The sequence below is a fragment of the Homo sapiens genome, chromosome 8 (genome assembly GCF_000001405.40).
Source record: "Homo sapiens chromosome 8, GRCh38.p14 Primary Assembly".
Taxonomy (NCBI): domain Eukaryota; kingdom Metazoa; phylum Chordata; class Mammalia; order Primates; family Hominidae; genus Homo; species Homo sapiens.
This window is the reverse complement of record NC_000008.11, coordinates 117,678,227-117,693,852: the sequence shown is the minus strand read 5'-3', so window position 1 is coordinate 117,693,852 and position 15,626 is coordinate 117,678,227. Positions and strand designations below refer to the sequence as shown.

Genomic DNA, 15,626 nt, shown 5'->3' with positions numbered 1-15,626 from the left:
TAAGTAGTGAATTAAATTGTCATTGTGAAATTTTTTACCAAACTCACATGTGGGAGATTATTACAGCTTCCCTTTGGGCATTAGGCCAACCTAAAGGAAATGTTAAGTATTAAAAGAGACCTCTGTCTCAGCCACAGGAAAATGGCTATGCATCTCTTAAGAAGGTGATAAATACCCAATATGTGTTATTGTCATTTCTATGTCCAGTTTTGCTCAGAAGGTAGCAGTCTTTGCCAAAATTTTCTGAGAAATGCATGTAAGCATAGAATTATGTCCTGTAAGTACTGCACACTTTTAATTTTATGCTGGTCGTATGGGCCTTCCTCTCCAGGTTGTGGGATTGAAGTGCTTTCTGGAATGAAAGCTTTTGCCACCTGTAGCTTTGGCTGTCTCAAGCCTCCTCTGGATACAAGTTTTCAGTGTGATTTCGGTGGTGGGGTCCAGGATGGACATACATGCTGGGTGCCCAGGTCACCCATGATTGATGGCCATAGCTGCCTGGCTAATTGGTATATAGGTCCTTTCTGCCTCCCTGCCATGCTGAGCTGTAGCTGGGGATTTGTTGAATGCCCCTCTTTGCTTGTCTCTGTATTGGTGGAAAGTGCAATTTCCAGCATGTGGAGCCGCAAGCTCCAGTTCAGCCAGGCTATGTACTGGCGAAGTAATTGGAGCCGGAGCCTTTGTTGGACTCACACTGCCAGCCTGACCGGGAGGTTAAAAGACACAACTGCTAATAGGCACTGAAAGCAGTGGTGTCTCCCTGGAGGCACAAAGAAGCTCACACAGAAAATCGATATGGCAGAGATTACCCTGCTTCTACCATTGTCCCTTTTCACCAAGACTAGATAATGGAAGGGATGTCCCCAGAGTACACTATTAATTTTACATGGAGAATTGGAGGTGAGACCAGAGGAGGCAATAACTGCTTGTTCAAAGTGCCTTCTGCTGCGGACTTTTGATTTTAGGACACTGACCAACCTGTTTTTCTAGACAGGAGATTTTTCTCTTAAAAAAGAAAAACAAAGCAAAAAACATATCTTATATGGAAATTCAGAAATTGCTATATGGAAAAACAGAGTGGAGCAGGTGCAGCAGAAGCCATGGATCCCTTGCCCCAGGTTATGTGGCCCGCTGAGGTGTGAGTGCTTCTCTACACACTAGTTTTCTTCTGCAGCCTCTACACAGGCTCTCAGCTGGTCTTCAAGCTAGCATGGCATTGAGGGGTTTCTTACACCCTCAACCAAAGAGGTTCCATTCACGGTAGCAAAATAGCTTCTTATCCCTCAGTGGGAAACATGTGGGATACATGGATGGTCAGAGGGTTTCCAACAGATCATGCCCCTGTGGTCTTCAGAGATAATCTATTCATGAGTATTCCCTTGGTGGCTGTTTCTTTCATTTTCACTATCCTCACCTATGCTTCCTGAGGTCATCTTTTTTTTTTTTTTTTTTTAAACAGAGTCTTGCTCTATTGCACAGGCTGGAGTGCAGTGGCACAATATAGACTCACTGAAGCCTGGATCTCAAGTGATTCTTCTGCCTCAGCCTCCCAAGTAGCCAGGATTACAGGTACCAGCCACAACACCCACCTAATTTTTGTATTTTTAGTGGAGATGGGGTTTCACCATGTTGGCCAGGCTGGTCTCAAACTCCTGACCTCAAGTGATCCACCTGCCTTGGCCTCCCAAAGTGCTGGGATTACAGGCATGAGTCACCACACCTAACCCGTGAGATCGTCTTTCAATGTGTCTTAATCCTTGCCTCAAAGTCTGCATTTGTGGGAATCAAACCAAGATAGCAGAAGTGCTCCAGTGTAGGATGGGATGAGGGCCAGCACTAGACTATTTGGTTTTCTTTTTTCCCCTCTCTCTGGCCTCATCTTCCTAATATAATTGGTCCCTGAAACCCCTATGGAGCTCCAGGTATGCTATTCATAAGCCATTGATTCCCTTTTCAAAATGAAAATGCTGGAGACTGAATTTATGTTCCTTTCCAAGTCCTGCTCCTTTCCTCATGTTCCTTACCTTTGACAATGGCCCCACCATTCCTCCAGTTCCCCAGGGCATGAGTATAATCTTATACTTCTTATGTCCATCAGCTAAACACTGTCCCTCCTCACTGCCTCCCATATGGAATTAGCTGCGTGTCCTCCCAATTCTACCATCTAAATAGTTCATGAGTACCTCATCTAACTACCTCCGCTATCATTGCCTATTTCAGGCTCCAACTGTCCAGGGGGAGGAGAGTGGCTGTATGAAGTCCTCCGCAGTAGATGTTATTGGTGCCACACTCCAAGCCCCTTTACAACTGCTATGATGGTGCAGTGAGTGCCACAGCCAACAGCATCCACCTGCAGACTTCTGCAGAGCATTACCCTAGGCTGACGGGATCGGCCTCACTCAGCGATACTGGGAGCTGACATCTCCTACTCCCCAGAGGCATACAATAACTGACTGACGCAGGGTGCAGGTGATGCTCCAGGTGTGATAATTGTGTCATGCAATTTATACTCCAGAGCACCCTGTGGGTCAGGTCAAGGGCTGACTTTATCTGGGTCCACATCCTTGCCATGTTTCTCCCTCTTCCTTATTCTTTCCTCACTCCCTTAGCTGTTTTTTCTGGACAGCAATCCCTCTGTAAATCATGCACACTGGAATCCTTGTCTCAGTTTTTTCTTCTAGGTATCCCAACCTAAGAATCTTAATGAACTCAACTGTAGGAATCCTTTAGGGAAACACTGGCCCCTAGGATCAGACACTCAGGCAATTTTTCCAGGCAATGCCATCCATCGTCTGCTTCAAACCTTCTTTGGGCCAAGTTTCCCACATTTCCTTTTGCTGCCTCTTTTCCTGAATTGTCTCTTTCTCCTGGACTTCTTCGGATCAAAGCCCTGTTGGACCATAACATTTTGTTGCTAAATATTTTAAGAATTTTTGGATCTATTTTCAAGGGGAATATGGGCCTATAGTTTTTTTTTTTTTTTTGAAATGTCTTTGTCTGGCTTTATCAGAATAATGCTGGCCTCATAGAAAGAGTTGGTAAGCAATGTAGAGTTGGTTTAAATTCTTCTTTAAATATTTGGTAGAATTCACCGGTAAATCAATTTGGGCCTAGTGTTTCCTTTCTTTTCTTTTTTTCTTCTTTCCTCCTCTTGTTTAACTGCCCATACTTTAGGGGCAAGTCCTGCCCATTCTCTGCTCTGTCTAGCTTAGGCCTGGGACATCACAATTTTTAGCCTCTGGATTCCAGTGGATATTGCTTGTTCGTCTCCTAGAGAGACATGGAGATACCCTCTTCTACTCCCGCGGGGCTCCTTTCATGGGTTGTACCCAAATCGTTATGTGGTAGCAAGCTGTCTGTAAAGTAAACCGTGTTGTGCTTATAGAACTTTCTTCTCCGGATTCCCCAGCCCCACTCACAGTGCTGTCCTGAGACTTTCTGCAGCAGGTGTGGAGATGACTGATACTGCCATACCTAAGCTGCACCCAACAGCTCTGGGCACTCTGTGTGCAGCTACAGCTGACACAGGTTTGAAATCTGGGCCCAGGAAACCCAGGCTACCCGCACCCCTGCTTGAGGAGGAAACTCACCAGAGATCACATCACCCTGCCCCTCTCCAGTATCAAGAAATATTCAAATCTAGTTCCCAGCTTGTATCTTCCTTTTTGGTCTCGATGGAGAAGGCAGAGAGATAGTGATGGCTTTCCTCTATTTGAGGACTAGACACGCTTTCAGGGAGAGATGACAAACATTTGGGTACCTCTTCTATGTGAGATGGCCCAAAATGACAACCGTAAGCCCTGGAGGAAGGAATAATCAGGCACCGGGAAATGTGTCTTCTGCTTCCTCTCCTCTGGCCTTGGGTGAAAAGACATGGTCTGCTCATGTGGTTTTCTCCCAAGCAAGGGCATAGTTGCCTCTCTAACATCCTCTGGCACAATTGCAGATCGGTGTCTTGAAGTCCTGGGGCATGGAACTGAAAAACACCACAGAGGACAACTTATACATGCCACAAGATTTTTTATTTGGCATCCTTCAATGAACCTTATTCCTAGCCTGCTCTTATGGAGCCCATGGTAGGTTCCCACCACACAGGGAGGAATTCAGATATCACCCATCCTTGGAGTAGAAACCAAACTGGTTCTCGGTGCCAGAGTGGGGCAGGAGATTCTCCTTTGCCTTGGCCTAGGACCTCTAACTGGAGTGTAGCTATTCCCTTTCCAGGTTGAAAAATGCCTGGGATGAACTACAGTGGCAATGTCCATTCCCTTCTGAAGAAATCCCACCTTCTCTTGTAGCTGTATGATCTAGCCCTATGGTCAGACAAGATATCTCACAGCCACCCAAAACTGGCAAAATTCTCAAAGTCTAAATCAGTCAGTCTTATGCAGTGTTACCCATGGTCATCTTTCTAGATAAATGTAAAGACCTCTGCTTAGTGCCAAGATCATAATTCCCAAATTGTAGCCATTACCATTGATTGTCATTGTGATGATGATGATGATGACGATGGTAACTGCTACACCACATCCTGGTTTTAGGCATTATGTACCTGCCTTTGCCATTCGTATCTATTTTCCCTTCTATGCACCTAGCCTTTTAAATTCCAGAATGCTACAAGGCCTGTTATGGCCATGTTACCATGCTCTGGGACTTATTTTCCACATTTATAGAGAGTGTTAGAATATACACATTTTAAAGTCCCCTGCTATGTTAGCATTCTGTATTTCCAAGATTAATTTGCATGCAACTTAAATTTTTACCTATTTAAAGAGGAAAATTTTCCATTCACCTTGGTGACTGGGAGTCCTGTTATTTCCTTGACTGATACAATAGACTCTGCAGATGCACTGCAAGTATATAAGCATCAAGCAAATATATATTTCTAATGAATTATTTACATTGTGTGTAAGCTTTAGTGCAAGTGGTTTTGTTGAAATGGAATTACAAGTCAAAAATCAGTGCTAGACAAAGAGGAAAATCTTTCTCCACTTCCAGTTAGTTGGAGAAAAATATTACTGGGGGAAAGTGGAGGTTTTAAGGACTTTTGCCTGAAGGGAGGAGAGGAGGCCTGAAGGTATTTCGGCAAAGAGAGAGAAAGAAACTAATCTATTCATAGGGCATGGAATAAAAGAAAAATTAAAATGGAGAGAAAGAAGAGGAGATTTTGTTTACTTGGGTGGGCTCTGTGCAGGCTCTGTGCAAAACAAAGCAAAAGCCTAGGGCTCTCCCTGTTTCACTTACAGGCCAGGTGGAGCCTGTGTTAATGCCCAAGAAGAGTATTACGCACTTCATTAAGGAAGTAGACAAGAAACATTATGAAAATAATAATATCAATGAGACATAAGTATAGCCAATATTTATAGAGTGCTTACTGTATGTCAGGTCTTGAATAGAGTGCTTTATACATATGACCTTGTTTAATCATCCCAACATGTGGATGTAAAAGGTAACAGTATCACCTCCCCTTTACACGCAAACACACTGAAGTGTACAGCTGTCAACAATTTGCCCAAGGTCATGCAACTATTAAATGTTAGAGCTGGGATTCAAATTAAGGTTTGTCTAACTTCAAAGTGCTATACTAATTCTGATGCACTAAAATTCTTTGATTTTCATTTTAGTTCAATTCTTTGATTCTGATGTACTACATTGATTCTGATGTACTACATTGATTCTGATGCACTAAAATAAATACTTAAATAAATAAATAATCCAAATGTCCAGAAACAAACTAAGCTCTAAGGATATATTGTATTAGCTGAGCTCTTTGGTTGAGGTGAGCCTAGCTCATAAGCTTGAAATGTTCCCTCTTCAGAACATGGGCCATTTACACCCTCCAGACTTTCTAGAGAGTCAACCCATTTTCTCAGAAGTTGACTGCATTTCCTTTCCTGTCTAAGAATTGTAATTGGGATAACTTCATCACTGGTAGCTAAACCTTTGGAGTCACATGAATATAAAGAAATGTTATGACCCAGTGTGATGACTCACACCTGTAATTCCAGCACTTTGGGAGGCCAAGGCAGGAGGATCACTTGAGCCCAGGAGCTTGACGTTATAGTGAGCTATGATCATGCCACTGCACTCCAGCCTGGATGATAGAGAAGGACCCTATTTTGTATAAAAAAAAATTGATGTGTGATTTTCAGAAGAGGAAAGGTTATCTTTTTATATTTCCTCCCTCTCTCCCTTTCTTTCTTCCTTGCCAGTCTAAATAAAATCTGCCATTTGCCTCTCATGTTCCCCAAAGTCTTGCCTTTTGGAAGAAAAAAATGCCTGTCAAGTTTTACCCCAAAAGATATTGGAAGGCAAGTTTCAAGCCACCAAACCTGATATTATTTCCTGTGAAATAATTGCTATTAATTGGGCATTTTTATGCATTGAACATTGTACTTAGCAGGTACATTATTTCACAACACCTTTGTGGGTTGATGCTGTTATTACCCCTAGTTTAAGTGCTATTATTATTTCTAGTTTTAAAGACAATACACTGAAGTTTAGAGAGGACAAGTCACTTGCCCAAGATCACACAGCTAGTAAGTGGTAGAAGGAGGACTGAGCCTAAGCCACCTAATCCAAAGACAGTGCACTTAATTATAACACCGTATTGCATGTTACCAGTAAGACAGCCAGTCCTGACAGACCCATAGGAGACATGGACAGTGATCTACCACTGGGTTTCTATTCAATGTTTAATTCTTTGTTTAATTCTCTTTGTTTAATTCTCCCATCCATCCATCCAAAAATATTTATCATGTACAAGCCATTTATCTTCACTTTAAATAAGCAGAGAAATCAACTGCTTGGAGTTTCACATCCTCTTAATATTCCATGGTGTTTCTAAAAAGGATGGAACTGGCCGGGTGCAGTGGCTCACACCTGTAATCACAGCACTTTGGGAGGCCGAGGTGGGTGGATCACCTGAGGTCAGGAGTTGGAGACCAGTCTGATCAACATGGTGAAACCCCATCTCTACTAAAAATATAAAATTAACTGGGTGTGGTGGCATGTGCCTGTAATCCCAGCTACTTGGGAGGCTGAGGCAGGAGAATCACTTGAACTCAGGAGGCTGAGATTGCAGTAAGCCATGATCACACCACTTTAAAAAAAAAAAAGGATGGAACTGAAGAAAAGGATGAGCTGAAAGAGAAAAGTTGAAAGTCTTGTTTCTCCAAATAATTAAGGTAGTGTGTGGGCATAAGCGGCACAGATTTAAGGGGCTGGGCAGAGCTTTAAAGGTAGGGTCAGAATGATGCGTCTCTTATTCTGATTCTTGGCACTTTCTTATAATGGGGACAGAAAACATGATATGAGTCACTCAGTTTGCCCCACTTCCTTTCTGCGGTAGCAGGCAGGCCCAACAGATTTCCCTATACAAAATCTTGCTTCTAAGGACTCCTTCTGTTTGGAATATATCCAACAATATTCTGTATCTACTATATGCCAGGCTTTGAATAATAGAGCCTCTATCCTGAAGCAGTGCTCAGTACATAATAATTTTTGAATGTGTTAGAATGCAGTGGTTTCAACACTGAATTCATCACAATTGCCTGCAAGTTTCATAGTCATTATTTTATTTTATTTTTTGAGAATCTGCAGAACAAAGTGATTAGCAGATTCTGAAGCCCAACTACATGGGTTCAAATCCCAACACTGCATGGCCTTAGTCAAGTTACTTTGCTTCTCTGGGTTTCAGTTTTCACATCATTAAGGATGATAATAACAGTTCCTAATACATTGGCTAAAATGAGGACTTAGAGAGTTAATATTACATATAAAACACTTAAATGAAGGGTCTGCCATGTAGTAAGTGCTATAGATTATCAGCTACAATTATTATTAAAAGTATAAATCACAAAACTCCACTCAGATGAATTGGATAAGAATTTTTCAAGTTAGGACCCAAGATCCTGATCTTGTCGGTTTTCCATACGATTCTGCCTCTGAGTCTGGGTTTAGACCCCTGATATAAAGTGTGCAGCAAAATACTCCAAATGGGAATCTGTATCCTAGGTCTCTTTCTCTTTTTAGCCAAATTGCTTTTTCTCCTTTATGTCTTATTGGAAATCTCACTTATTCTGAATATCCTTTTCTTGTCTGGATTCTATTGCGGCCCCCTCTTAAGATGTGATGATAATCAGGGACTACTACTCAGAAACTTCAGCTGATTAAGTCTTTCCTCTGCATGTGATCCATCTTCCCCAGTTGTTTGCAGTTTGGTTGGCTCTGTGAGGTTTTAAATCCTCTAGTGTAGATCCACACCTATAGTGTTGCACACAGTCAGAGCTCAGTAACTATCAAGTTTGGTAATGATCCAGACTCACAGTTTAGGCAGGCATACTGATTATATCTGCTGCAATTATTACAAGGGCCCCATTCAGCTGATGGGAGTACATTTCTTGATACCTGCCATGATACATAAGTAACTATTTTATTTTTATGAATCTTAAAAATATAAAACCCAGGAGGAAAAAAAAATCACATAGTGAATAAAATATGTATTTGGGTTTATTTGTCTGTTAAATATCGAGGGCTCACTGTTTATGTGATGTTGACCACACAGCCTAAGAGTAACAGAATCAGGAGAGGTTTCTAAGCAAAGGAAGTTAAGTGTTTAAGCATGTCTGCAGATAACTACATACCCAGTGACTCCAAGATGAAGGACAATAACTTTGGAAGATACAAATTGGGCTTCCTGGTCAACTACAATCTTCCTAAGGCTATCTATAGGTTGTACCTCTCCTGTTCCAACCATTGATTCTGAAGTTGGCTGCCATCCTGATTTGTCAAAGGAGTTGACAAAAGACCTGTGCTGGGCCAAGCAGAGACCCCTCCTGGGAGTTCATGAATTGAAGCTGCAGATGAGGATCATCTAGGTCAAGCTTGTCCAACCCACAGACCAGGACAGCTTTGAATGTGGCCTAACACAAATTTGTAAACTTTCTTAAAATATTATGAGATATTTTTGTGATTTTTTTCTTTATTTTTAGCTCATCAGCTATCATTAGTGTTAGTGTATTTTATGTGTGGCCCAAAACAATTCTTCTTCCAGTGTGGCCTAGAGAAGCCAAAAGATTGGACCCCCCGATCTAGATCTTCTTTAGGCCATAGCCAGCTTCATGTGGTTGGTAGCTCAGAGAATACATACAGTAGGCAGAGAGATACATTGATGGGAGGCAGTAAAAGGGATGAGTTGCAGCAGCGTTTGGAGCTCTGGTTTTACTTCTAGCCTTACTCCAAACCCATCCTCTCTGCAGTGTAGTATGTGAAACGACTGCTTTCTCTTTTTCCTTATGTTAATATAAGTTGGTTTTATTTGAACACTATAGAGTTATGACTTGGTAGAATAAAATTAAGGTTAACGTTGAGACCCTCCAAAACTTTCTTCTATGAATATAGCTGTATAAATACGATGCTTCTCAACTTATGGAGGGGTTATGTCCTGATAAACCCATTGTAAGTTGAAAGTGTTGTAAGCAGAAAATGTATTTAATACGCCTAACCTACCAAACATCTTGGCTTAGCCTAGCCTAACTTAACATTCTCAGAACACTTAAATTAGCATACAGCTGGGCAAAATCATCTAACACAAAGCCTATTTTTAATAACGTGTTGGATATCTTATGTAACTTATTGAATATTTGACTGGAAAGGAAAAACCGTGATTCTATGGGTACTCAAAGTATGGTTTCCCCTGAATGTGTCTTGCTTTTGCACCATCATAAAGTTGAAAAATAGTTAAGTGGAACTATCATAAATCTGGGACTGTCTTTCTACATTTTTTTGGGTCTAAATAGTGTCACACTGTTAGCTCACAGCAAAGAAGAGGCCAACTAACATCCCAGACATTTTTCAAATAAATTGCTGTCAAGTAATAACGCGGCCTTTTTGCAATGGGCATTTAATTCTTTCAACTAAATGCAAGATTTTATCTTTATCTTTCTTAAATTCCATCTTCTTAGTTATGGCCCAGTATTCTCACTTATGAAAAGTTTGAACACTGATTTTTGTCATTTATCATAACATCTCTCCCTTCTGAGTTTGTGTCATCTACAAATTTGATATACATGTGTTTTATATTTTCATTCATGTCTACAAGTTATACATGTTTATAATGTTCAAAAAAATGAGTGTTTTTGATCTTGCAATTTCCCTTCTAGGCATGTGTCATTTCACATCTGCATAAAAAGACATGCTGAAGGATGTTCCTTGCAGAATGGTTATAGAGAAAAATGGGAATAACCACGATATAAAGTAACAGGTAAATAGATACATATAGTATACTTATAAAATGAACTATATTGCTGTAAGTAAAAGAAATGAACTGGAATGCTAAGTAGGAACACTGGCTCTTAAAACACATTGATGACAAAAGCAATGTGCAGAGTGATATATACAATGCAATATGATATTATAGCAAAAATGTTATACGACAAAATGTTAAGAATGGTTGATTCTGAGTGGTATAAGCTTATGTCATTATTGTGTTATGCTTTTGATTATCTGTGGTTTTTAGTGTCTCATTGCACTAGCTAGGACTTGCAGTATGATGCTGAATAAGAGTGATATGAAGGGATTTTTAAAAATTTTATTGTGGTAAGAACACAACAATTTTGAAGTATACAGTACAATATTGTCAACTATAAGCACAATGTTATACAGCAGATCTTTAGAACTTATTCACCTTACGTAACTGAAACTTTATACCTGTTGAGCAATTCCCCATTTCCCTCTTCTTGAAGACCCTGGAAACCACTATTCTATTTTGTCCTTCTATAAGTCTTACTATTTTAGGTACTTCATGTAAGTGGAATCACATAGTATTTGTTGTTTCATGACTAGCCTTTTTCACTTAACATAATGCCCATAAGTTTCATCTGTATTGCACAAATGACAGGATTGCCTTTTTCTAAGGCTGAATAATATGTATGGATATCATGTCACATTTTCTTTATCTGTTAATCTGTTTGATAAACAATTACGTTGTTTCCACATCTTGGCTATTGTGAGTAATGTTGCCATGGACATGGGAGTGCAGATATCTCTTTGAGATCCTGATTTCAATTCCTTTAGACAAATATGCAGAAGTAGAATTGCTGGATCGTATGATTGTTCTATTTTTAATTTTTTGAAGAAATTCCATACTGTGTTCCATAATGGCTGCCCCATTTTACATTCCCACCAACAGTGTGCAAGGGTTCCAATTTCCCCACATCCTTGACAGTACTTGTTATCTTTTATTTTTATATAGTGGCCATCCTAACAAGTATGAGATAATATCTCATAGTGGTTTGATTTGGGTTCCCCTGGTGATTAGTGATGTTGAACATACTTTCACATACCTGTTGGCCATTTGTATTTTTTTTAATTCCAAAATATAATATTGGGCCCTCCAATAGCAGCATCCATCAACCTGCTTAATAAACTTATTAAGAAAGCAAATGAATTTGGTTTGATGTAAGTTTTGCAGAGACTGGCTAGAATGCTCCCAGACACCATTCTTCTTCTTGGGCATAGAGAAGGATTATGTTTTGCAACATTCCTTGCAGTTTAGTCTGGGCTATGTGACTAGATGCCGGTCTATGGAATGTAAACAGATGTGATGGAAGCCACTTTGAGACCTGGTCATCAAACTCCCTGCACAATCTTCCATGCTCTCTCCTCTCTTTCATGATGACTGTGGAGGCCAAGGGATGAAAACAGTTACCATTCAGAAGATGGCTGTCCAGGGCATCGGCTTCACTGCATCAGAATATGATGTAAACAACTGCTAAACCTCAACTGTGTTGAGTCACTGAGAACCAGGGAATTACGTTTTAGTGGTTAGCGCTGCTTATTCTTCTGATGTACTGGCCCTTGTACAGAGATTTATTGAGATTTATTGAGAGTAGTATTAAAATATTAAAGGAAAATAAAAACAGATAACTTTCCACTGTCTTAAATCAGCTTTTAACATGATTCCCTTTTCACTTTCTGTTATAATCTGCAGACACATTTTAAGAGAGTTGTAATTAATCTGTTGCAAAATAATTGAAATAATTATTCCCTAGGGACAGGATTTTTGAGTAAATCTTTCTTCCTTCTTTTGAGAGTTATCTTAAAATACATTTTTGAGGTGGAAATCTATTTAACATTTTTCAAAATAATTATATCAATTTGTAATAACATCAACAGTTTTCCTGCAGCATTACAAGCATTAGCTTTCAATAATTTTATTTTTTTAAATGAAAATGGGGGGTGGGCTCAGTTTCTTATGCCTGTAATCCCAATGCTTTGGGAGGCCAAGATGAGAGGATCACTTGAGCTCAGGAGTTTGAGACCAGCCTGGGCTACATAGGAAGACAAAAAATAAAAAGTAAAAAAAAATTAGCCAGACATGGTGTCATGTGCCTGTAGTAGTCCCAGCTATTTGGGAGGCTGAGGCAGGAGGATGACTTGAACCCAGGAGTTTGAGGCTGCAGTGAGCTATGATCATACCCTTCCACTCCAGTCTGGGCGATAGAGGGATGCTCTGTCTCAAAAAGAAAAAAAGAAAGAAAAACAGTTTTACTTTTCTGTATATAAGAGTACTGCAATCTTATTTGAAAACCATAGACAGTCCAAAAAGATTTAAAGAAGAAAGAAAAATCATCCATACTGCCATTATCCAGTACCCAATGATGACATTTTGGTGTGGAGTCCTCAGTTAGTATGTATTTGCACAAATACACTCATGCACACACACAAATAAGTTAATTTTAACTGCTCTCTAAAATATCTTATCAATAAATTATGAACATTTTTATTGCTAACAAATACAGATCTATGCCATCGTTTCAAATATGGGCTGTTCTGTTATCCTCTGCAAACCAACACAGGAACAGAAAACCAAACACCGCATGTTTTCACTTATAAGTGGGAGCAGAATGATGAGAACACATGGACACTTTGGGGATAACAAAACACAGTGGGGCCTGTCAGAAGGATGTGGGAGAGGGAGAGCATCAGGAAGAATAGCTAATGGTTGCTGGACTTAATACTTACGTCGTGGGTTGACCTATGCAGCAAACCACCATGGCACATGTTTACCTATGTAACAAACCTGTGCATCCTGCACATGTATCCCCAGAACTTAAAACAAAAATTGAAGAAAAAAAATATGGATTGTCCAATTTGGAAGCTACCAGCCAATGTGGCTATTTAAATTAAATTAAAATTAAATCAAATACCTTAAAAATTCAGTTTCTTCAGTCATGCCAGCCACATTTCAAATGTTCAATAACCACATGTGATTAGTGGCTACTGTATTGCATAATACAACACAGACATAGAACATTTCCATTAGTGTGGAAAGATCTATTGGACAGTGATGTTATAAAGGTACAAAGATTTGCACAGGTTTATTGAACAAATTCTCTACTCTTAGTTGTTAGATTTCCTTCAGTTTTTTTTTTAATTACTCTAAGAAACACTTCAATGAACATTTTTGTAGCAATCCTTGGGCTATAAAAGCTCTGTGATTCTTTCTAAACTGTGAGGTAGGGCCTAACTTCAACATGATGATACATGATCCTTTAGTTTTGCCCAAGCTTTTGCCACAATTATTTCCCAATCGTTTTTTCTTTGACTTTGCTGCCTCACCGTTAATCTCATTTGGATATCTCGACTTGTCATGTTTCAGCTGTTGCTTCATCTGCCTATTTTATCATTACTGTCTCTAGGTCTATACAGCAATTATTGTCCAAAACACTCTACTGTTTTCTGGAAGTAAGTTTTTGAAAACATTTTCTTTTTTACCTTTTACTTCTGTATCAGTCAGTATAGGCTACAGTGTGCTGCAGTAATAAATAACCTTGACTTCTTAGTGGCTTAGTATAATAAAGCTTTTTTTCCTCACTCATGCTTTAGCTATTGATTGGGGCTCTGCTTCAAGTTATCTTCACTTCAGCATACAAGCTGATGGGGCTGCCACCATGTAGAAGGTTGCTATGATTGAGAAAGAAATCACTTGATGAATTCACACACCAACTTTTTGTTTGTTTGTTTGTTTGTTTTGGAGACGAAGCTTCACTCTTATTGCCCAGGCTGGAGTGCAATGGTGCGATCTTGGCTCACTACAACCTCCGCCTCCTGGGTTCAAGCAATTCTCCTGCCTCAGCCTCCTGAGTAGCTGGAACCACAGGTGTGTGCCACCATGCTGGGCTAATTCTAATTTTTGTATTTTTAGTAGAGATGGAGTTTCACCATGTTGGTCAGGCTGGTCTTGAACTCCTGAACTCAGGTGATTTAGCTCCCAGAAGTTAAACTATGACTTTAATTCCCATTTTAATGATCAAAACAAGTTACACCATCCTGCCTAACTTAAAGGAGACAGAAAGTACATCTGTCTGGAAGACTAGCCAGAAATATTTGATTAAAAAAAGCATTAATGATGTATCCAAAGTTTATTGTCTTTATTAATTGCATTTTTTTTGCTTAGACATAATAAAATAGGGACAATGATAGCAATACCTAACATTTACCATGTGGATATTTGGGAAAGTATTTTACATACTGATTTAATCTTTGTGATGATGACCCTTATTTTATAAATGAGGCATAGAAAGGTTAATTATCTTGCCTAAAGTTGCATGGCTAGTAAATGGTAGAGCTGGGATTCTGATTCTAGATGCTGCATGCTTAAATAGTCCCCCCTTACTCTGTGATGTCTTTTTAGATCCATACTGGTGTTTTCTCCTTATTTATCTCTGTGAGAAGTTCTATTCAGGCTTGCTATTTGTTCCTAAATAATGCAAATAGGTAATCTTTCTTCTCTAGTTATTTGGGTACCACTGGGCTCCTCCCCATAGAAAGTAAGTGGAGGGATGGATGAGGCAACATCATATGAGCAAATATGTCTTCATTCAAACCTAAAAAATGATAGAAATGCTTCTTGAGCCATGGGCATTGAAAACCTGGGTACTTGGCATAATTTTTCTCTGTTGAAACTTCTGCAGAAGGGGTGGCCTCACTGAGCTGGAGGTGTATCCAGTCACTTGGGGAAGGTCTTTCCAGACCTGTATTGAGCCTCAGGCTTAGGGCAAAGAAACACTGCTAGAAGTAATTCATTTATGAGAAAAAGTCTTTGGCCTATGGGTTTCCTGAATGATGTGGCTAGAAGTGTATTCTCCCAAACACCTGCCTTTCCTTCTGTTATTTATATTTGATCAATCCTCATCTCTCCAACAGGATGCCTAGACCTTACAGAAATTCCACCCCACACCCCACACCCCACACCAGCCCATATTCAACTGACTACCTCCACTAGTAAGTTGCCACATATGTGAAAAATGGCTAGGAGTGGCTCGTTGCTTTCTCTTCTCTTTGACACCAGAGCTGTGGATTGTCTCCAAGCATAGGGAGAAGGACTCCACATATGGCCGTCTGTCATCTGCTTGTGACCTGCTGATGAATTTCACCATAGTTTCCTTCTCTCCTTTCTTGCAACTGCCATTGAGGAAAGGTTGTTATTCTTTTTTACAGTTGGTATTGAAACTGGTAGAAATTCCTCACTTTGTGCTTGACATGTGGTTGGCACCATTCCTGGTTCACGGCTGATGTCCTACCCCCACCCCATCTCCCTCCACTTTGGTAATTTCAGCCGT

At 40.0% G+C, this 15,626-nt stretch overlaps 1 long non-coding RNA gene across 6 annotated transcripts in view; it reads left to right on the top strand.

Annotated features, from left to right (window-relative positions):
* Positions 1 to 15,626, top strand: part of LOC105375721 (uncharacterized) — a 121,243-nt gene that overhangs the window by 38,287 nt on the left and 67,330 nt on the right. For 5 of the 6 annotated variants that reach the window (XR_001746050.1, XR_001746049.1, XR_001746046.1 and 2 more), the window contains one exon: positions 10,164 to 10,264. This is a non-coding gene — a long non-coding RNA (uncharacterized LOC105375721). Of the gene's footprint in view, positions 1 to 1,459; positions 1,570 to 10,163; positions 10,265 to 15,626 lie in introns of all 6 variants that reach the window. The other variant, XR_007061069.1, reaches the window with a different exon arrangement.